This window comes from Homo sapiens, chromosome 12, assembly GCF_000001405.40.
Source record: "Homo sapiens chromosome 12, GRCh38.p14 Primary Assembly".
NCBI lineage: Eukaryota > Metazoa > Chordata > Mammalia > Primates > Hominidae > Homo > Homo sapiens.
In genome coordinates, this window is record NC_000012.12 from 71,572,580 (window position 1) to 71,594,248 (window position 21,669).

Here is a 21,669-nt window from a genome sequence, read left to right on the forward strand (position 1 = left end):
AAGAGTCCTCCAGTGTTTTGAATGATGATTGCATGTTTGGAATATGGTTTTACGTCCTCCCAAGCAAACTAGCTCCTTTGAAAGAGACAATACTTGAGTGTGTAAATGGTAATGTTCTTTTTTAAACAAACAAAAATCAGTCACTTGATAGATACACTTCATGTGTTCCTTTGATTAAGGGCAGGTAGTCCCTCTATAAAAGTTATCTGAAGTCTGTAGTCTTTGAAACCAGTAACTTTGAAATCAATCTTTGGAACCCTGTCATTTCAGTGACCTAAGACATAATGAAATCTACGAAATTAAAGTTGACACTTTCCAGCAGTTGCTTAGCCTCCGATCGCTGTGAGTATCACCTCCCAGTGCGTTCCCCAGCACAGAGCATTTTCTTTCTCTTTGGGGCCTTCCCCTAATGTTTTCTTTTCATTGTGTACTATTGTGGTGGGACTTTTGTGCATATATTTGCTATGAAACATCAAGTATTTTGCTTCTGGTAATTTCCAGGAATAAATCTAAAAGTAGTAAATTTGCAATTATGCTCTCTACCAGTCAGCAGGCAGGAAGTTTTAATGAAGAGGAAGGAAGCTAAGCTGTTGACTAGCCTACTGTGTTTTCTGTCCACAACCTGGAATCGACAAGAAACATTTTACATGCAAAAATGGGATGATCACATAATTCTATCTGCCTGCTTTTTTTCCTGGTTAAGCATTTTTTTCAACGTGTGTCTCAAAGTGCTTAATAATCACCTCGAGGAAACTAAAAAATACAGACTCCAGAACCTTATCTGCCTCATGAGTTAGAATCTCTGGAGTGGGGACTGGGAATCTGCATTTTAACAAGTACACTAAGGTTTGAACACAGCTGTTCTAGAATCACTTCTGTTGCTCAGGCAACTAAGATTTGTAAATACTTGTATTTAATTCCATTTTATGATTGAAATGTTATATATTAAATTTTTTTAAAAAACTTACTAGCAGATTGTTTTATGAAATAACAGTTAAAACTTTTCTATACTGAAACTGGATTTCAATATGATTTTGATGAACGGTGATGATAGGTAATGTTTAAACTATAGTACGTTTGTTAAAAACCTTTCTCTTTTGCTGACATCTAAAGTATTTTTTTTGTACTTAAGAGACTATACCTTTGGTAAAATAATACTATTCCTCAAAAGACTTTAAATTTACTTTTAAGAGTCACTTTCTCCCAAAAGTTTACCTTAATAACCTTAATAATTTCCTCCCAAAAGTTTACCAGAATAACATCTTGTTCTGAATTTCGTTGTGTTGCCCTTCTCTCACTTTTGGTTGAAATCTACTTGTGGAGTGCTTTTACTTAAAAAAAAAAAGTGTAAAAGGAAAATACTTTTATTTTCCTTTTACTAAGGGTTACTATTTTCCTAACCCTAACCCTTATTCAGGTAAGTGAATAAGACTTACCTGTCTTATTCACCCGGTTTGATGTCTGGCTGCCCCAAGTCAGTTCTATATTAAAAGGCAGGCGGATCACGAGGTCAGGAGTTCGAGACCAGCCTGGCCAACATGGTGAAACCCCATCTCTACTAAAAATACAAAATATTAGCCGGGCATGGTGGCATGTGCCTGTAGTCCCAGCTACTCAGGAGGCTGAGGCAGGAGAATTGCTTGAACCCAGCAGGCGGAGGTTGCAGTGAGCCGAGATCACGCCATTGCATCCAGCCTGAGTGACAGAGCAAGACTCTGTCTCAAAAAAAAAAAAAAAAAAAAAAGGCTGATCTCTATAGATACCAAAAGAATGTGACACAGACTCTGAAGAATAAATGTCTGAATCCCCCTGAATTCCTTCTTCCCCTGTGACCTCACATTCAGTCACTCACCAAACTGTGCCAACTCCAATTCATCCTCTCCACTCCTCTACCGCAGGCCCATTAATGATTCGTTTGGATCACCATCATCCTCCCAACCAGTCCTTCTATCATCTCTCTACCCATTCATCTTATTCTTTCTTAAATAAATATCTAATCATGTTATTTCCCTGCTTCAAAAACTTTCTAATTATTTCCCTGTTGTCTTCAAGATCAGACCAAACTTCCCAGCAACACTCTTCAAAATCTGATTCCAGCCTCCTGGTACAGTGTCATCTCTCCTCAGCACACTCCAGGTCCCTGACACACGAGCCAGTGTTTCTCCTATTCCCATTGCCTATAGGATTCCTCCCCACCCATGACTTGTCCCCCTGCCCATTTCACAAGAACAAGATCTTCTATCTTTGGGCCCACTTCACTCAGATGCGCTTTGCACATTTTCTACTATAGAACTTAATACTTAGCACTGTCATCAGGTAGACTATGCCATACCTGAAAACAATAAGAACTTTTTCAGGTTCCCATAAATTAAAATTTCAGTAAAACTTCTAGCCCAGGGTCTAGTGCAGTGGCTTTTTTATTATTTGCTTAAGAATTTAAACATGTTCTGAGCACAAGATCAGGGACTGTGAAGTCAGTGTGCCTGCGTTTGAATTGCAGCGCCTGAGATTACTCTGTAATTTATTACTCAAGTGACTTGTCACACAGTTTCTATTTTTCCTCATGAGTATAATGAAGGTAATGATAATACCTACCTCTTAGGGTTGTGGTGAGGGTTATGAGACTAAAACCTGTAAAAAACAAAACAAAACAAACAAACAAAAACCTCATAACTATACCTGGCACATTGTAACTATGCAACCTTATTATTATTATGAAAATAAGTATATAGCTTTTGAGGGTTCTAGCAAGAAACAGAAGTCATTTAAGATGGTTGAAATGCAGAAATACCATTTGACCCAGCAATTCTATTACTGGGTATATACCCCCCAAAATGTAAATCATAATGTTGGGTGTGATGGTTCACACCTGTAATCCCAGCACTTTGGGAGGCTGAAGTGGGCAGAACACTTGAGGTCAGGAGTTCGAGATCAGTGTGGCCAACATGGTGAAACCCTGTCTCTACTAAAAATACAAAAAAATTAGCTGGGCATAGTGGTGGGCACCTGTAATCCCAGCTACTCGGGAGGCTGAGGCAGGAGAATCGCTTGAACCTGGGAGGCAGGGTTTGCAGTGAGCTGAGATCGCACTACCGCCCTCCAACCTGGGCGACAGAGTGAGACTCCATCTCAAAAAATATATATGTGTGTGTGTGTGTGTGTGTGTGTGTGTGTGTGTGTATCATTCTATTATAAAGATACATGCACACATATGTTCATTGCAGCACTATTCACAATAGCAAAGACATGGAATCAACCCAAATGCCCACCAATGATAGACTGGATAAAGAAAATGTGGTATATATACACCATGGAATACTACGCAGCCATAAGAAGGGATAAGATCATGTCCTTTACAGGCACATGGGTGGAGCTGGAAGCCATTATTCTCAGCAAACTAACACAGGAACAGAAAACCAAACACTGCATGTTCTCACTTATAAGTGGGAGCTGAACAATAAGAACACATGGACACAGGGAGAGAGATACCACACACCAGGGCCTATCAGGGTGGCAGGGGGAGGGAAAGCATCAGGATAAATAGTTAATGCATGCAGGGCTTAATACCTAGGTGATGGGTTGATAGGTGCAGCAAACCTACCATGGCACATGTTTACCTATGTAACAAACCTGCATGTCCTGCACGTGTATCCTGGAACTTAAAATTAAATTAAATTTTTTTAAAAGATGGTTCAAATGAAAAGACACTTACATAGGTGTTGGCAGGGAGCAAGCAAAGGATGGGTGTGCAGAAACCAGTAACATCTGGGGCTAGAGTCACAGGGAGGAAATGATGTTTCCAGGACAAAGAAAGAGCTTAAGCATGGAGAAGTGTTGCAGCCCTTGAGAAGTCTGTAGCTGCCATGAAAGACATGATTCCAAAACAGGGAAGAGAAGACCATGAGGGCCCTGACCTCCCTTTCCTTCTGGGGCTTCTCCTGAGAAAACAACTGAGGCCATTAGGGAGCTCTGGGGATGCAGCCTGCAGGATCAGCCCCAGGCACAAAGCAGAAAATGACTCCTCTGGGGCTGCTGGGAGGATTCCAGCGCACGGGCTCATGAATTGAAAAGGAATTACAGGCCTTTGAACATATAAATTCTCACATATTTACTTAAACCCCAGCCAAATCACTCTAAGCACCATGGCAGGACTTGGCCTACATTCCAGATATTCTGCTCTGTGAAGCTCTCCCAGGGCACCATGATCTACTTAAAGCTGCCAAAAAGACTCTGACAGATGGTATTACTTGCTCACCTCAGTGACACGTATTTCTTGAGCAGCTCAACAGAAGACAGTCTTCTCACTCAATTACCCAAAGCCCAGCCGCCATTTGTAGCTTTTCTACCTTCCATACGTTTCCTCCCCTTGTTAGCTGCAATTTTCTTCTGTTCTGGGATCAAGGAAAAGACTTCCAGTTTCCTCCAGGAAAGGAGGACAGGTCCCTAAGGAACCTTTCAAATGAGAATGTAAATATTCTGTGAATACCATTTATTAAGGTAACCCTGGAGCCCAATATCATAAACTTTTCTACACTTAAGAAAAGTTGACTTTGTTTACTTTCAGTTCTCTCAAATGCCTACATCTTAGTTACCATTGTTAGTCATTTACAAAAATTAAAAATCTTAAATTCATCCTTCCTTTTTAAAAATGTAGTTCTTATTCCTGATAAATTATCTACAGAAGTTTTTGCAAAATGCTTTACTCCTACTTAATTATCTGCAGTTCATTACTTGTCCATGGGAAGTGAATTTTATTTCCCCATAAACTGTACTTTTTCTTTACTATCAAAGAATTTTATTTCTAACATATGTTGGCCCCTATTTTATTCATATCCTGGCTAATAATTTACTTGTCAGTATCCTTCCTGGAAATTTTCTTGAAAGCATCTTTGTGTTTCTTTCAAGGCCTAACATATATGAGTGATGTGCCCAAATTTTTTTGAGTTTCATTACATATCCAAGGACATTTTATAATTTAACACTTACTTGTCAGAAGAAGAGACTCAGAAGTTTCTGTCCCTTCCCACAGTGCTACAACCACTCATTTTAGAAAGGCCCTAATAAAATTTTACAACCATGTTAAAGTCAACCTTTTAGCAAGAGTAAAACCAAAATATCCACCTGAACGATGTTTCCTTGATTGGTTTTAACAAGCTTGATTTAAAGTTCTCTCATTAGTCATTTTATACCACTAATATGATAATCTGAAGGGCAGTTTGATAAGTTAATTGTTTCTGATCTGAATGGAAATTAAATTAATTTTGGTAGAAGACTAAATGCATATGATAAAACTTCACATGTTCTTTATTCTATATAATTCTCTCATTTGCCTTTTTTTACAATAGGAATTTGGCTTGGAACAAAATTGCTATTATTCACCCCAATGCATTTTCCACTTTGCCATCCCTAATAAAGCTGTGAGTATTCCACAACTTGTTTATGGTATGTCTCTTAATAATTGAGGACCATCTAGTTAATTTTAAAAGTTGGTTTTGTTGAAGAAGCTGGATATGCACAGATTACCTGCCTCTGTGTTCTCCATGCCTAGAGCTTGTCAGAGCCAGGGAGGAGTTCTGCTCCTCCAGGGCCACATGGGCCATTAAGTGGATAATTGAAGATTTGGGTGACACCTGGTTCTCATTATTCAGCTGAAGTTTTTTATTTGTGCTTTGTAATCAGGTGGAATGGAATAAGATGTCAATTCAGGTCTGAAGGGCTTCCATTTTATTTTATGCCATTTTGACTGATAGAGAATCTTCCTGTCCCTTCCCCCCACGCCAACTTCCCACCTCTTGCTCCTTCCTCTCCCCATCTCTTATCTAACAAAGAAAGAAGAAATTGGTTAGACAGAAGTTAGGAGAAGAGGAAGGGGAGTAAATACACCCCCTACACTTTTTACCTCTCACTCCTAATCTAGTCAGCATCACTTTTCAAATTAAATATAGCACCTTCCCCTTGATTTTAGATGTCCCCACCTGAAAAAATGAAGCTGAATATAGAACAATTTGAATACAATTAAAACCTTTTCTCCCCTACAATCCTGATTGTGAATAGAAAAGTTATCAAGAGCTAAACCAAAATGGTTACTTTTACCATTAAGAGTAAGGACCCTGCTTAGAAGTTTTTATTGAGTAGTTTAACGATCTTTAGGTTGTTGTTTTTTTTAACATAAACGTTTTATGCTAACATAGACTAAAAGCCAATTGTTGTTTGATGTTTTGCAGGGACCTATCGTCCAACCTCCTGTCGTCTTTTCCTATAACTGGGTTACATGGTTTAACTCACTTAAAATTAACAGGAAATCATGCCTTACAGAGCTTGATATCATCTGAAAACTTTCCAGAACTCAAGTGAGTTTGTCATTAAAACTAATAAGATACATTTGTGGTCATGTGAAATAATAGATGTATTATAGTGGTGTTCTAAATTTATGAGGTCGTGAGACACTTTTGAATTGCATTTCATGCCCTCAAGTCTCCTAACCCTGGAGCATTGTTAGGACAAGCCCTGAAGTGGGAAAATGTGTCCTCCTGACCATATTTCCTTTCCTTCTCAAAGATGCCTCCCAGAATCATAGAGTTCATAGGAGGAGTTTGAAAACAATTGATCCATGGAATATATATAAAAATAAACTAGGGCATGTAATTAAATAACATTATAACATTATTCTACTCTTGTTTACAATTTTTAATTTAGCTTGTATGTACCTAATAAAATGTACTAAATTAATATTTGTTTGAGGAAGTAATGCTGCTTAAAATCTGTTATGCTTATTATTGACAAAGAAGTATCTTGAAAGATTATGTATTTTTTAACCCACGGTAGTTTTTACATACTTTTAAAATTATGAAAATAATAAAACCCCAAAAGAGAGTTGGGAAAGCATAAGAGAGAACAAAAATCTTTTTTTTAATTTTTAATGTTTTTATTTTTTATGGTTACATAGTTGGTGTTTATATTTATGGGGTACATGAAATGTTTTGATACAGGCATGCAATATGTAATAAGCACATCATGGAAAATGGGGTATTCATCCCCTCAAGCATTTATCCTTTGAGTTACAAACAATCCAATTACACTCTTTATTTTAAAATGCCCAATTAAATTATTATTGACTACAGTCACCCTGTTGTGCTATTGAATAGTCGGTGTTATTTATTCTTTCTATTTTTTGTACCCATTAACCATCCCCACTTCCCCCCAAGTCCACCCTTCCCAGTCTCTATTAAGCATCCAGGAACAAAAATCTTAAAAATGCCACTCTAAACAACATGGTTAAGTTACTTCTTTCCAAGCTTTGTTTCCAGTGCATTTTTTATTGTTAGACTCAAAATGTGCATAGAAATATATGTCATATTGTAGTCACTTATTCTGCCATAAGCACTTTTTCATGTTGCTACAATTTTTCTTAGCAGCCTTTTTTTTAACCTTTTTATTTTGGAAATTTTCCATCATTTGAGTAATGGAAGTTGCATCACTCAGCTTCAGCAATTAACATTTCATAGTGATCATTTTTAATAACTTCATTGTTTTTATAAATAGCACTGTAATGAACACCTTTATGTGCATAACTTATACTTTGGATTATTTATTTAGGCTAAAATCCAAAGGTAGAATAATTGGGTGAAAGAACATGAACACTATATTTAATTATCCGTTTCTTTAAGTGTTTTTTGTTTGGGTTTTGTTCATTTAAAGGGTTATAGAAATGCCTTATGCTTACCAGTGCTGTGCATTTGGAGTGTGTGAGAATGCCTATAAGATTTCTAATCAATGGAATAAAGGTGACAACAGCAGTATGGACGACCTTCATAAGAAAGATGCTGGAATGTTTCAGGCTCAAGGTAGGACTTGCTATGCCATGGTAATGAAATTGTGTTGTGTTCAGTGGAACACATGGAAATGAATTATGTTTGATGAAAAGTCATCGAACAGGCCGGGTGTGGTGGCACACACCTGTAATCCCAACAGTTTGGGAGGCCGAGGCAGATGGATCACTTGAGGTCAGCAGTTCAAGACCAGCCTGGCCAACATGGTGAAACCCCTATCTCTGCTAAAAATACAAAAAAGTAGCCAGGCATGGTGGCACATGCCAGTAATCCCAGGTACTTGGGAGGCTGAGGTATGAGAATCGCTTCAACCCGGGAGGCAGGTTGATTCCAAAGCAAGCTGAGCTGAGATCACGCCACTGCACTCCAGCCTGGGCAACAGAGCAAGACTGTCTCAAAAAAAAAGGAAAAAAAATTATCAAACAGATTATCTGAACTTCAGACAAGTCCTTGTACCTCAGCAAATTGTGAATAAATCCCACTTTTTAAAGACTACTTGAGAAAGAGAAAACTAGCTCAGGATTTATCCTAAAATTTCATCTGTTCTGTAGGTGAATTCTTATATTTATATGTATAATTAGATTCCCCCTTAGCATATACTGTCCTCAGGGGTGATTACTGACATGATGTTTCCATCAGCTTTTTAAAGGGTCTGTTTCTGAGGATGTCTTTTTCATACGTACTTCAGAAACTTTTTCTCCAGAAGACAAAATCCATTTTCATTCTTATGGCCTGGAAGGATTGAAAGATATAAACATTTTAGATTCCTTCATATTTCAGCAGAAGGGCTAAAGAATCCTGCTTTTTGTCCAACTAATTCTAAATCATTCTCCTCACCTACCCCACCCCGGGGTATCTGTCTGGAAGGTGAAATGAGATAATGTCTGTAAAGCTTGGCTTTCCTTGAATTAAGACGTTACCTAAACAGACAACAATGCCTCTCAAACCACACCTGTGGTAATGAGGAGGTGCTTTGGGCACCACCCCCTGCCTTCCCTGCCAACCCTGCGAGTTTGCACAAAGTCTAAACAGACTAAACAGAAGGATGGCTTCTCATGCTTTGGGCCTTAATGATTTGTTGATTCCAAAGCAAGTATGATTCAGTCTGTCTGCAGATAACCTTACCAGTTTTTCCTGCATGTGTATCTGTTTAAGGAACTGATATCTTGGTCCTTGCCTTTTTTGTTTTAGGCCACAGCATGTGTCTTGTTCTTGTTCTTGCTTCAGTTTTTGCTCTTCCTGCCTCACCCACTCTAATTTCTCTCCAAAATTATTCACTCAAAACATAAAAACACAAGCAAAAAGTTATTAGAGAGCCTACTTTGTGCCAGGCACTGTTCTAGGCCTTGAAAGTACACAATGAACAACACAGAGAGAAGGTCATTCATGGAGTTTATTTTCAAAGGCAGTGATTCTCAACCCTGGACCACATATTACACTCACATAGCAACTTTTAAAAAATATTGGTCCCCAATTCCCACATGAGACCAATTAAATCTGTATCTTTGGGGAAATATGTTAGATCACAAAACTCCTATTTCATGGATAGCTAAACCAAGCACCAAGTAGTTATTTGTTTTGTCCTCTGTTACACAGAATTCCCCAGGGAAGACTGAAACTTACTGTGTCTGATTCTCTGGTGTTCAGAGAACACAGCCTAGAACATTTGCAGTATAGCTTTTATAGTGTTAGAAATTTGGATAAAGCGGTTCCTACTCTGAACGAAGAGGCCCATAGCCTCCTCTAATTTAGCTCTGCAATGTGGGGACATCATGAGCTGCAGGGAACACGAGCAGAATGAGAGTTTAGATGTTACACCCGGCGTCTTGGGTCACTCTCCCTCACCCCCAGTTGTACTAGAATAGTATGTCATAGCAGCTTGAGTCAAACATCCAAAGGCAACTTTATAATAACTTGCAAGAAAGCTAGAGCACAAGGAATTTGTGACAGTTCATGTCTCCAGAATAACCCAGGACTCTCCACTCTGGGATTTGGTCCCTTGAAAAGAGAGTCAGAACTAATCATTCCAGGACTTCTTGTGCTGCAGATGAACGTGACCTTGAAGATTTCCTGCTTGACTTTGAGGAAGACCTGAAAGCCCTTCATTCAGTGCAGTGTTCACCTTCCCCAGGTGAGAAAGGCATCAAAAATTCCTCAACGGCAGTATCCACCACTGATTCTGAGTCCATGAAAAACAATACAGCTATACTTTAAAAGCCGAATCTGTGCCAACTTTGCAGCTCATCAGTAACCCTCCCCATAGTGGCCTGTCAAATACAAATGTTCATTCCCTGGAGTTGTTTTTCACTTGCCAATAGGATTGAGGTGGGAGGACTTTTGATTTAACTTAATGTAAACGAAAGAATCAAGTATGTTGTTAGAGGCATATGTAATTTTTAAAATGATATTAGCAATTTACCCTGAAATAGTATGCTATAATCTTGTTTTGTGTAATCACCGACATTTGAAAGTGACTTAGGTTTTTCTTATAAATAACTATTTGGTAAAAGCAAATAATAGTTTGTACAGATAAGAGGAAGGAAGGAAGGAAGGAAGAAAGGAAGGAAGGAAGGAGAAGGGGAAGGGAAGGGAGGGGAGGGAAGGGAAGGGAAGGAAAGAGGAAGGGGAGGGGAAGAGATGGGAAGGGAGGGGAGGAAAGTGAAGTTGAATTCTTAATAGTTTGTCTCATTCCAAAAAACAGGATGAGCCAGTTGAAAAAAAGATAGCTAGGAAGAGTTGATATTTTATTTTTAACGAATAGATTGTCCCTTGCTCCCTAACCTCAAATTTTAATCTAAAACTAAGATGAGATTTTCATGAAATTCACATTCATAATATTACGGAGTATTTCCCTAGGATTCTCCTTGTCTGCCTATGGAAACTTATGGAAATATTCTGAAAACTTATATAATGAAAAGTCCAGGAGATCTGGCTTTTTACCTGGCTCCAACACAGCTGTATCTTAGAGACTTCAATTAAGTGATCGAAATTCTCCATTCTCATTTCTCCATCAATACCCTGGAACAGGAGCACCGGGTGTACTCACCCAGCCAGTGCTGCAGAAGATCCAGGGTGACAGTGGCTTGAGATAGTGGAGCATGCACATGGGCACTGTGTGTTATTAGGCTGTTTTTGACCATTATCTCTTGGCATCCTAAATAAAGAGACAAAAGGGTAATTCAGCAAAAGTTGTAAACCCTAATTTGATACTCAATCTTTGCCTTCCTTGGACTTCTAGGCCCCTTCAAACCCTGTGAACACCTGCTTGATGGCTGGCTGATCAGAATTGGAGTGTGGACCATAGCAGTTCTGGCACTTACTTGTAATGCTTTGGTGACTTCAACAGTTTTCAGATCCCCTCTGTACATTTCCCCCATTAAACTGTTAATTGGGGTCATCGCAGCAGTGAACATGCTCACGGGAGTCTCCAGTGCCGTGCTGGCTGGTGTGGATGCGTTCACTTTTGGCAGCTTTGCACGACATGGTGCCTGGTGGGAGAATGGGGTTGGTTGCCATGTCATTGGTTTTTTGTCCATTTTTGCTTCAGAATCATCTGTTTTCCTGCTTACTCTGGCAGCCCTGGAGCGTGGGTTCTCTGTGAAATATTCTGCAAAATTTGAAACGAAAGCTCCATTTTCTAGCCTGAAAGTAATCATTTTGCTCTGTGCCCTGCTGGCCTTGACCATGGCCGCAGTTCCCCTGCTGGGTGGCAGCAAGTATGGCGCCTCCCCTCTCTGCCTGCCTTTGCCTTTTGGGGAGCCCAGCACCATGGGCTACATGGTCGCTCTCATCTTGCTCAATTCCCTTTGCTTCCTCATGATGACCATTGCCTACACCAAGCTCTACTGCAATTTGGACAAGGGAGACCTGGAGAATATTTGGGACTGCTCTATGGTAAAACACATTGCCCTGTTGCTCTTCACCAACTGCATCCTAAACTGCCCTGTGGCTTTCTTGTCCTTCTCCTCTTTAATAAACCTTACATTTATCAGTCCTGAAGTAATTAAGTTTATCCTTCTGGTGGTAGTCCCACTTCCTGCATGTCTCAATCCCCTTCTCTACATCTTGTTCAATCCTCACTTTAAGGAGGATCTGGTGAGCCTGAGAAAGCAAACCTACGTCTGGACAAGATCAAAACACCCAAGCTTGATGTCAATTAACTCTGATGATGTCGAAAAACAGTCCTGTGACTCAACTCAAGCCTTGGTAACCTTTACCAGCTCCAGCATCACTTATGACCTGCCTCCCAGTTCCGTGCCATCACCAGCTTATCCAGTGACTGAGAGCTGCCATCTTTCCTCTGTGGCATTTGTCCCATGTCTCTAATTAATATGTGAAGGAAAATGTTTTCAAAGGTTGAGAACCTGAAAATGTGAGATTGAGTATATCAGAGCAGTAATTAATAAGAAGAGCTGAGGTGAAACTCGGTTTAAAAACCAAAAAAGAATCTCTCAGTTAGTAAGAAAAGGCTGAAAACCTCTTGATACTTGAGAGTGAATATAAGTCTAAATGCTGCTTTGTATAATTTGTTCAGCTAAGGGATAGATCGATCACACTATTTAAGTGAGCCCAGATCAAAAAAGCAGATTGAAATTTTCTTTAGAAAAGATTCTCCATGATTTGAATTGCATTCTCTTTAAACTCACCAATGTAATCATTTTGGGAGGAGGGAGAACCCACTTGCTTTCCAAATGGGTTTATTTAAACCCACAAACTCAAGAGGTTGTTGGGGGAATTAGGAAAATAAGGGTTTTCAATGACCTACATTGCTAGGTAGAGGCTGTGATCCATGGGATTTCATTCTAATGACCATGTGAAGATGTTTGAGTCCTCCTTTGCCTTTCCTCAGAAAGAATCCTTCTAAGGCACAAATCCCTTAGATGGATAATGTAAGGTATTGTTAACTCACTCATATTGAGATCATTTTTAGAGATACCAGGTTTTATGTATCAGCACTAGATGGTTCCACCCTCATGGGATAAAACTGCTTACAAGTATTTTGAAAGAAAAACTGACCAAAATTCTTAAATTGTTACTAAGGCAATCATGCACAGGTGACGTATGTCTTATCTGATTTGTTTTTAACTCCTTGGTGCCCAAAGCTCAGAAGGGAATTCCACTGCCAGCAATGAACATACCTGGAAAAGAAAGTAAGCAATCTGGGATTTTTTTTCTGGGTTAGTAAAGAATTTTTGCAATAAGTTTTATCAGTTGATTCAAACTGATGTGCATCTTAATGATCAAATGTGCACATTACATAAATTAAGTCCACTGATACAACTTCTTACACATGTATCTCTAGTAGCTCTGGCAAACCCAATATCTGACACCACTTTGGACTCAAGAGACTCAGTAACGTATTATCCTGTTTATTTAGCTTGGTTTTAGCTGTGTTCTCTCTGGATAACCCACTTGATGTTAGGAACATTACTTCTCTGCTTATTCCATATTAATACTGTGTTAGGTATTTTAAGAAGCAAGTTATTAAATAAGAAAAGTCAAAGTATTAATTCTTACCTTCTATTATCCTATATTAGCTTCAATACATCCAAACCAAATGGCTGTTAGGTAGATTTATTTTTATATAAGCATGTTTATTTTGATCAGATGTTTTAACTTGGATTTGAAAAAATACATTTATGAGATGTTTTATAAGATGTGTAAATATAGAACTGTATTTATTACTATAGTAAAGGTTCAGTAACATTAAGGACCATGATAATGATAATAAACCTTGTACAGTGGCATATTCTTTGATTTATATTGTGTTTCTCTGCCCATTTTCTTTAAATTCATTAACTGTATATATGTAAATATATAGTACTTGTAAATAGATTCCAAATTTGCTTTTCTATTGGGTAAAAAATAAATTTGTAATAAAATGTGTGACTATGAAACAAAATATTTTCAAGTCTATTTATTGAGCCCACAGGCAGATATATAGTCTCCTAAATGTTTTTAAGTTTTGGAGTATAAGTACCTTTGCTATTTAAGTATTTTTTTTTTTTTTTTTTTTGAGACGGAGTCTCGCTCTGTCGCCCAGGCTGGAGTGCAGTGGCGGGATCTCGGCTCACTGCAAGCTCCGCCTCCCGGGTTCACGCCATTCTCCTGCCTCAGCCTCCCAAGTAGCTGGGACTACAGGCGCCTGCCACTACGCCCGGCTAATTTTTTGTATTTTTAGTAGAGACGGGGTTTCACCGTTTTAGCCGGGATGGTCTCGATCTCCTGACCTCGTGATCCGCCCGCCTCGGCCTCCCAAAGTGCTGGGATTACAGGCGTGAGCCACCGCGCCCGGCCTGCTATTTAAGTATTAATATTTGTACTTAATACTCTAAATATATTGCACTTATCATAAAAAAAGCAATCTTTCACAAAACGAATCAAAATATCATTACCAACTCCTGAATTGTTTATGATTGATAAGCCATTTTGTCCTGACTTTTGTGAAGGTTATGATAGTTTGGATTTTATAAGCTAGAACTTTTATTGGTCTCAAACTTCTTTTGCAATATAAGAAAAATCCTCACAATTAGAAAGAAATATATGAATAACAAATCAACCTTAAATTATTTAACATGGACATGAGTTTAAACATGAGTTTAAAAACTCATGTACTTGTTAAATAATTCATTTGATGATTATGTCAAGGCCAAAACATGAGGACATGCAATTCCCAGGGCACAAAGAAACACACTGTTCCCCTTCGGTCCCCATCCCCCAAAACATGAGAAATGAAATTATTTTTCTAGACACCTGTGCCAGACCCTACCAGCTCCAGTGGTGATTCCTGCTCTCCTTGCATGGATTGCAAAATGAAACCATCAAGTACTAGTAGGAGGCACAGCATTATTGCTAAAATTAACACGTTTACAGAGCACCCACAGGGCACCTGGCACTGAGTTTTCCACCTACCCATCAGACTTAACCACATGCCCAAACCTAATTAACAGGCATCAAATGGGATCCTCTTTTGTGCAGTCCATGCTTGGCTTGGCTTATCTTCAGCTGAAACAAGAGCTCACTCCTCTTACTCTCCCACCTCTTAACCCAGGCAGCAGATATAAAAGTCGCCTCTAGAGGAATGCATCTCATTCTTTCTTTTCAATATACTTGCCCAAAGTCAGGAACAAGTCCTGGCAGCCCCTTTGTCTCCCGCTCAAGAAAACACAAGTCAGTAATGTAATTAAAAAAAAAAAAGACACTTAAATTCACTCCAACTTATTTCTTTAGATAAATCCACAGGCTTTATTATTTTATTGACAAAACACTAGTTATAATACACCTTACACAAAACACTGCCATCTGATAAATGTTCTCCACTCTAATATAGCATAATCAGAAAGAACTTGAATTACATCCACAAATAAATAAATCTACAGTGAGAAGGGGAAAGATGTACTGTTCAGACATTGAACAACAGTAAAGAACAAACCATGGAACAAATTTGTAAAAACCATAAACTGTGAACTAGCTTAAAGTAAGGCAGTAACAATTTTGTTTCCAAAAACAGGTTCATTCATTCAACAAGTATTCTGCACCATTATGTGCTGTATTCTATGCACTGCGGATAACAAAACAAGGTCTGGAATTCGCATTCCAGCGGAGGGGAGATAGACAGTAAACAAATATAAACATGGAAATATCCGATAGAAACATAAATGAAGGAAATGAAGCTATTTTAAATAGTCTATTGGGAATAATTAGTGTGGTGCTTTAGAAATGGAGCTCCGGAAAGGCCTCTCTGGAAAGCCACCTTTTAGGCTAAGACCTTATGCTCACAATGGAGCTACCTTTGCTTTTGAATTTAACCAGTTACATCAAAAAACTCATCATTTCTAGTCCCTCTCTTCATATGTCACCTATAACTATTTTCAGGGACATTTTAATAGAAAAATATATTAGGTGGCTGTTACTGCACATCATTTTTTTTCAACTGTTACAGAAGAGAAAATCATTCTTATATGAAATAAAAAACATCTACTCATTTAGTTTTGGCTAAAAATATAACAATAAAGCAGTAAAAGGAAATAAAATTAGCAACACCTTCTTCATTTAGAACCAGAAAAACTCTAACATATGAAAAAGTAACAATGTCCTGCTTCTTTTGTTAATCTTATCACATTTAGTTCAGAGGCCCATCTGATGAGAAAGAAGTCCTAGATAAATAGATGGGATTGCTGTGACCCTACTGGTTCCATTCATGCTCTTCAGTACTGGAGATTTGATTTTACAGTTCCACTATGCAGATAAAAGAGACTATCTTCCTATGGGCCACTAAACACTAACTATTTTCTCTCTCAGGCCACAGAGACCCTTAACTACAATTAGGTTATGGTCACTTTTCCTTGCAAGTGAAGTGGGGAGGGGCTGTGTAGCCATATCCCCATTTCGATGTCCTCCTTATGAACATTTCTAAAGATGTTGAACTCAGATTCTACACTGACTCGTTCATCTCATACACAAGTTCCTGAAGCCTATTGGGTAGGATGATAAAACTTCAGAAACGGGCAGAAAATGCATGTGATAGGCTGGAGAAGCATTATGGAATACAGGTTCATACTCATTGTGGACATGACTTTCCACTCTAGAGACAGTACTTTATGGGAATGTTGAAAACATGCTACTCCATGAGAATAGTGAATGAAACAGTGAGTGGAATAGGGAAATGATATCCTATCAAATAATAGTCTAAAAAATGGAGAATGTGTCACCTGGAGAAAAGCAGGCTAAAGGAAAATATTTAAAATATTTGAATAATTGAAATTTACTAAGTGCTTTCTTAAGTACGAGCCTATAGTAGGCCAAATAGTAAAATGATTAAGCTCAACTGCCAGACAGACCTGGGTTCAAATCCTACTTCTGTTACTATCTGTGTAATCCTTGGACAAGGTATTTAATTTTTTTCAGCCTCAAATTTCTCCTCAAAAAAATGGGCATCACACCACCAGCCTCATAGGATTGGAAATACTAATAACTCAGTGTATATAAAGTTACCATCACACTACCTGAAAAGCATTGAATAGTACGTATTTAATTAATGGATCCTGTGTTTCCCCCTCTTTTGACAGCCTTATGGAATGAGCAAAGCAGGCCTTGTCATTTTGCCAATGAAAATATAGAGTCAGAAGGATAAGTGACTTGCGAAGGTCACAGATGAGGAACTAGGACTAAAACCCAAGTTTCGCTTAATAGCACTGAAAAACAGTCATAGAGTAAGCTGACTTACTCTTTAAGAGAACAAGAACCAACTGGTGAACGATTCAGAGAGACAGATTTGGCTTACCTAAGAAAGATTCCATCAGGTCTCTTGTATACCAAAAAAAAACTATCATATTGAGTGAGAAGTTAGATCAAATTACAGCTAACTTTCCAATGACGAACATTTTGGATGAATGCTTGTTAGTCTTCTCAGAAGGAATGCCAGATTCAGAAGATTGCTGAGGAAGGCAATGAGACCTTATATCAACATCCTGAAACGAGAGGGTATATAGTTCTGTGTCACAAGTGGGTGGGCATTTCTCAGTCCATTCAGCATGGTGAAGGATAAAGACGTGAGATTTAAGCCCACTTGTTACAGACCTGCTGTGGAACACTAGAAAAGCCCCTTCATTTTTTCAGCTCCTGACTGACTCTGATCTTTGCCCTCAAACTACTGATGAAACAATATCAACTCTTTAAGGTTCTAGCAGGTTTGATGTCTGTTCTTTCTACTGCTCTCTCTCCCCACGTAGTGAGAAATACAGATAAAAGTCAAGTAAGCCAGAGCCACAGTCCCAAATCACAGAAATACCATCACCAAAGAGCAATAGATGGCAAAGTTAAGACATCACACATCAGATTGTCTCTTTAGCTGCTGACAGTCCTCAGATGTCTACCTGTCACTCTATTTGCTGCCTGCCTTCCTTCTTCCTTCATATCATTTTTGATCCAAGGCTGTAAATATTAGATTACTGAGGTGAAATATTTAATGACTGTGGTTAGTTAGCCTCTTTTGATCATAAGTCATGATGGAGAGTAGAGAGTTATTGGGAGGACACATGTGGAAATAAGAAAAACAGGAATCTGGCTGGGCACGGTGGTTCACGCCTGTAATTCCAGCACTTTGGGAAGCCGAGGCGGGAAGATCACCTGAGGTCGAGAGTTTGAGACCAGCGTGGTCAATATGGTGAACCTTGTCTCTACTAAAAATACAAAAAACTAGCCAAGTGTGGTGGCATGTGCCTGTAATTCCAGCTACTCAGGAGGCTGAGGCAGGAGAATAGCTTGAACCCAGGAAGTGGAGGTTGCAGTGAGCCGAGATGGTGCCATTGCACTCCAGGTTGGGCAACAGAGTAAGACTCTGTCTCAAAAAAAAAAAAAAAAAGAGGAAAGAAATAAAAGAATGGCTACTCCATGGACAGAGCAGCCCCAATGGCTGCTGGTTGCTCATTTTTATGGTTATTGCTTGATAATATGCCAAACAAGGAGTATATTATTAATACCTCCCCTTTTTAGACCATATAGGGTAACTTCCTGGCATTGCCATGGTATTTGTAAATTGTCATGGTGCTGGCAGGAGTGTAGCAGTGAGGACAACCAGAGATCACTCTTGTCGCCATCTTGGTCTTGGTGGATTTTAGCCGGCTTCTTTACTGCAAGCTGTTTTATCAGCAAGGTCTTTATGACCTGTGTTTTGTGCCAACCTCCCATCTCGTCTGTGACTTAACAATGCCTTAACCATCTGGGAATGCAGCCCAGTAGGTTTCAGCCTCATTTTACCCAGCTCCTAGTCGAGACGGAGTTGCTGTGGTTCCAACAGCTTTGACAGTTGCAGTGAGCCAAGATCATACCACTGCACTCTATCCTGGGTGAGGGAGTAAGACCCCGTCTCAAAATAAATAAATAAGAAGTGGAAGGCTTTAACCCAGCTCTGGGATAGAGTGTTCTTATTGTCCCCTTCACCTTATGGATTTCTCACCAGTATGGTGACCCAGTTTTTCTTTGTCTTTGTTTCAAACACTTCTGTTGCTTCCAATTGATCATCTCTATTCTGTATTCTTTTCTTTCGTAGAGATAGAGTTTTGCCATGTTGCCCAGTGCCCACGCTGGTCTCGAGCTCCTGGGCTCAAACTCCTGGGCTCAAGCGCTCCCCTGGCCTTGGCCTCCCAAAGTGCTGAGATTACAGGTGTGAGCCACTCCACCCAGCCCAATTGTCTAAATTCTGTAACTTTTCTCTATGGCATAACTTAATTTGCTGGTGCTTATTTGTTTACTTCAGCCCATTTCCCCAACACTTCCCCTACAAGGTTTTCCCTGAGGGCATGCACTTCCTACTAATTGCCTTGCCTCAATTCGAATCTTCTGCTTCTCTAACAGGGAAAGAATCTGGTTGCTCATTGTTTGTCCCTGTGGGACAGAGCCCTGGGGGCTGGGCCAGCTGGAGGTTCGTAGAAGTCACTGCTCAGACTACAGGTAGGTGATTGCAGGAGGTCAGGGTCACATGGCAAAACCCTGATTAGCTAAACTTTCACTTTTCTCTCCAGGAGACCATGGGCAAGGATCTTTTGGAAGCTTCTAGGGGCAGCAGGCTCTTTATTGGCCTGTTCTGTACATATGACTCACTATAGACAGAATGTTTTATGTCCCCCACCCCAAATTCATATGTTGAAGCCTAATCCCCAGTGCAATGGCATTTAAAGATGGGGCTTTTGGAGGGTGATTAGGTTGTAAGGACAGAAACCTCAAGAATGGGATTAGTTCCCTTATAAAAAGGGACCCCAGAGAGCACCCTCAGCCCTTCTACCATGTGAGCACACATTTAAAAGATGGTGTCTATGAATGAAGAAGTAAGCCTTCACTGAATACTGAATCTGCTGACTCCTGGATCTTGGACTTCCAAACCTCCAAAACTGTGAGAAATAAATTTCTGTTGTTTATAAGCCATCCAATTGATGCCATTCTGTTATAGCAACCCAAGGGACCAAGACAGACTAATTTTGATTTCCCTTACTAAGGGAGGCAGATTGGGGGTACTAATCCAGCCCATGACCCCATATTTGCAGTTGTTTTCCAGCCACAACCCCTAACACATCCTCTGTGGAATTGACCTAAGCCAGAGCAATCAGATTCTTTTTTCCAAGAATTGAAAATTAGGGACACTGGGAGACACTAACTCAGTCAGATCATGAGGGGAAGGTGCTTGAACTGAAAGACCAAACAGAATTTTGGCTGGCAATGACACCATGAGAAGCCAAAATTATGTGTAAATTTAAGTTTTGAGAAGCAGAAATGGCCACTATAGTGAGAAAAACAAAAGGCTGGGGTAGCAAGAAAAAGGGAGTTGAAAATGCCAAGCAGCTCCATGAATGATAAAGTTTCTAGACAGTTCCATTCCCTGGGTGGCTTGGTCATGTTTTTTGGTCCTATTTTTAGGTGTCTAGGAATTTGCCTGTTGTGTTATTTCAAGAAACCTCTTTTATACTTGAACTAGTTTGAAGAACTTTCTATAGTTGTTATTGTGCCTCACAAAAAAACCACTCTCCAACAAAATACCCACCCCCGACTGTCCAAAACGTTTGTAAGTATAGCTGTATTGTCTTTCCTAAACGTCTGGGTAAGATCTTCTTAGCCTCTCTTTCCCAGCTCAGGTACAGTTTCCATTGCCACAGGGGAAATACAGCAGGAACCCACTAACCCTTCCATGAATCATCATTCTATCCCTCATTTTCTATGGTCATTTACTCTGCTTATTACATTAGATATATTTATACAACATCCAAAACAAAGTAGGCAGTTACATACAATACATACAGTACATACAGATGGAATTTTTTACCTTGTGAAAAGAAAAGTAAATAATAAATACATAAATAAATAAATCTTGGAAATCTTGGTACCCCAAAATCACTAAGCTAAAGGGAACAGTCAAGCTGGGAACTGCTTAGAGCAAACCTCCCTCCCATTCTACTCAAAGTCATCCCTCTGCTCACTGAAATGCATATCTGATTGCCTCCTCTGGAAAGGATAATCAGAAACTTGAAAGAATGCAACCATTTGTCTCTCACTTACCTGTGACCTGGAAGTCCCCTCCCTGCTTGAGTTGTCCCACCTTTCTGGACGGAACCAATGTACATCTTACATATGTTGATTGATGTCTCATATCTCCCTAAAATGCATAAAACCAAACTGTGCCCTGACCACCTTGGGCACGTGTCATCAGGACCTCCTGAGGCTATGCCATGGGCACGTGTCCTCAACCTTGGCAAAATAAACTTTCTAAATTAACTGAGACCTGTCTCAGATTTTTGGGGTTCACAACCTAAAACTCTATTTTTAAAAACTTCCTTTCTGTCTTCAAGTAAGAAATTTGGACAAAGAGAGCGGTAGAAATAACTGCAAGGGTTCTGGGATCAGACACCCCTAGGCTTGAGTGCCAGCACCACCATTTACCACCTGGATAACCTTAGGCATATTACTTAATTCCTCTAAGTGGTCATTTCTTTGTTTATAAAATGAGAATAATAATAATAATAATGGCTTATTTCCTCACAGCTTATTTACTCCTTACTGAGGAATTATTAATATCAAAGTGTTTAGTATACCATACATGCTCAATAAAGGTGTAGCCATTATCTAGAGTTTGGATTGGCACAATAAATAGAACCTCTTTTCTATGCCTTTGCCCCAAACCTATTAAAAATGGGACAAACAGAAAAGCAACAGAGGTAAAACATCACCTTCATTACCAATAAAGCTGATCGAAGATGGCAGGGTTTTTATCCACCGGCAAGTAAGCTTCCTAATAATTAATGTGAGAATTCCGCAGATTTGTCCACTGAGACACAGAGAACATCAGACACCA

At 39.3% G+C, this 21,669-nt stretch overlaps 1 protein-coding gene and 3 long non-coding RNA genes across 9 annotated transcripts in view, besides 2 other annotated features; 1 reads left to right on the forward strand and 3 right to left on the reverse strand.

Moving 5' to 3' along the window:
- LOC105369833 (uncharacterized) overlaps positions 1–2,616 on the reverse strand; it is a 47,788-nt gene extending 45,172 nt beyond the window's left edge. The window contains exon 1 of the long non-coding RNA XR_001749200.2: positions 2,596–2,616. This is a non-coding gene — a long non-coding RNA (uncharacterized LOC105369833). The remainder of the gene's footprint in view (positions 1–2,595) is intronic.
- Positions 1–13,731, forward strand: part of LGR5 (leucine rich repeat containing G protein-coupled receptor 5) — a 147,182-nt gene extending 133,451 nt beyond the window's left edge. For 5 of the 6 annotated variants that reach the window (XM_047429800.1, NM_003667.4, NM_001277226.2 and 2 more), the window contains 6 exons: positions 271–342; positions 5,346–5,417; positions 6,225–6,350; positions 7,699–7,844; positions 9,877–9,960; positions 11,068–13,731. In XM_047429800.1, the coding sequence (XP_047285756.1) occupies positions 271–342; positions 5,346–5,417; positions 6,225–6,350; positions 7,699–7,844; positions 9,877–9,960; positions 11,068–12,155 (1,588 nt within the window). In that variant the 3' untranslated portion in view covers positions 12,156–13,731. The remainder of the gene's footprint in view (positions 1–270; positions 343–5,345; positions 5,418–6,224; positions 6,351–7,698; positions 7,845–9,876; positions 9,961–11,067) is intronic. The other variant, NR_110596.2, reaches the window with a different exon arrangement.
- Positions 4,364–10,951, reverse strand: LOC124902963 (uncharacterized). Its single transcript, XR_007063365.1, has 3 exons — positions 10,876–10,951; positions 8,513–8,561; positions 4,364–4,452 (listed from the first exon to the last, which is right to left on the reverse strand). It is a non-coding gene; the product is annotated as an uncharacterized LOC124902963 (long non-coding RNA).
- Positions 13,732–15,050: 1,319 nt separating the features above from the next.
- On the reverse strand, positions 15,051–20,973 carry LOC124902964 (uncharacterized). The gene is made up of 2 exons (XR_007063366.1): positions 20,877–20,973; positions 15,051–17,299 (listed from the first exon to the last, which is right to left on the reverse strand). It is a non-coding gene; the product is annotated as an uncharacterized LOC124902964 (long non-coding RNA).
- Positions 17,076–17,276: a silencer, noted in NCBI's record as "peak1819 fragment used in MPRA reporter construct". NCBI's record gives its function as "represses an SCP1 promoter by STARR-seq MPRAs in K562 erythroleukemia cells {active_cell/tissue: K562}" and the evidence as "EXISTENCE:reporter gene assay evidence [ECO:0000049][PMID:32103011]".
- Positions 18,964–19,479: an enhancer, noted in NCBI's record as "NANOG-H3K4me1 hESC enhancer chr12:71985323-71985838 (GRCh37/hg19 assembly coordinates)". NCBI's record gives its function as "activates a minimal SCP1, AML or CMV promoter by ChIP-STARR-seq in primed H9 embryonic stem cells {active_cell/tissue: H9 hESC(primed)}" and the evidence as "EXISTENCE:reporter gene assay evidence [ECO:0000049][PMID:30033119]".
- Positions 20,974–21,669: the final 696 nt, after the last annotated feature.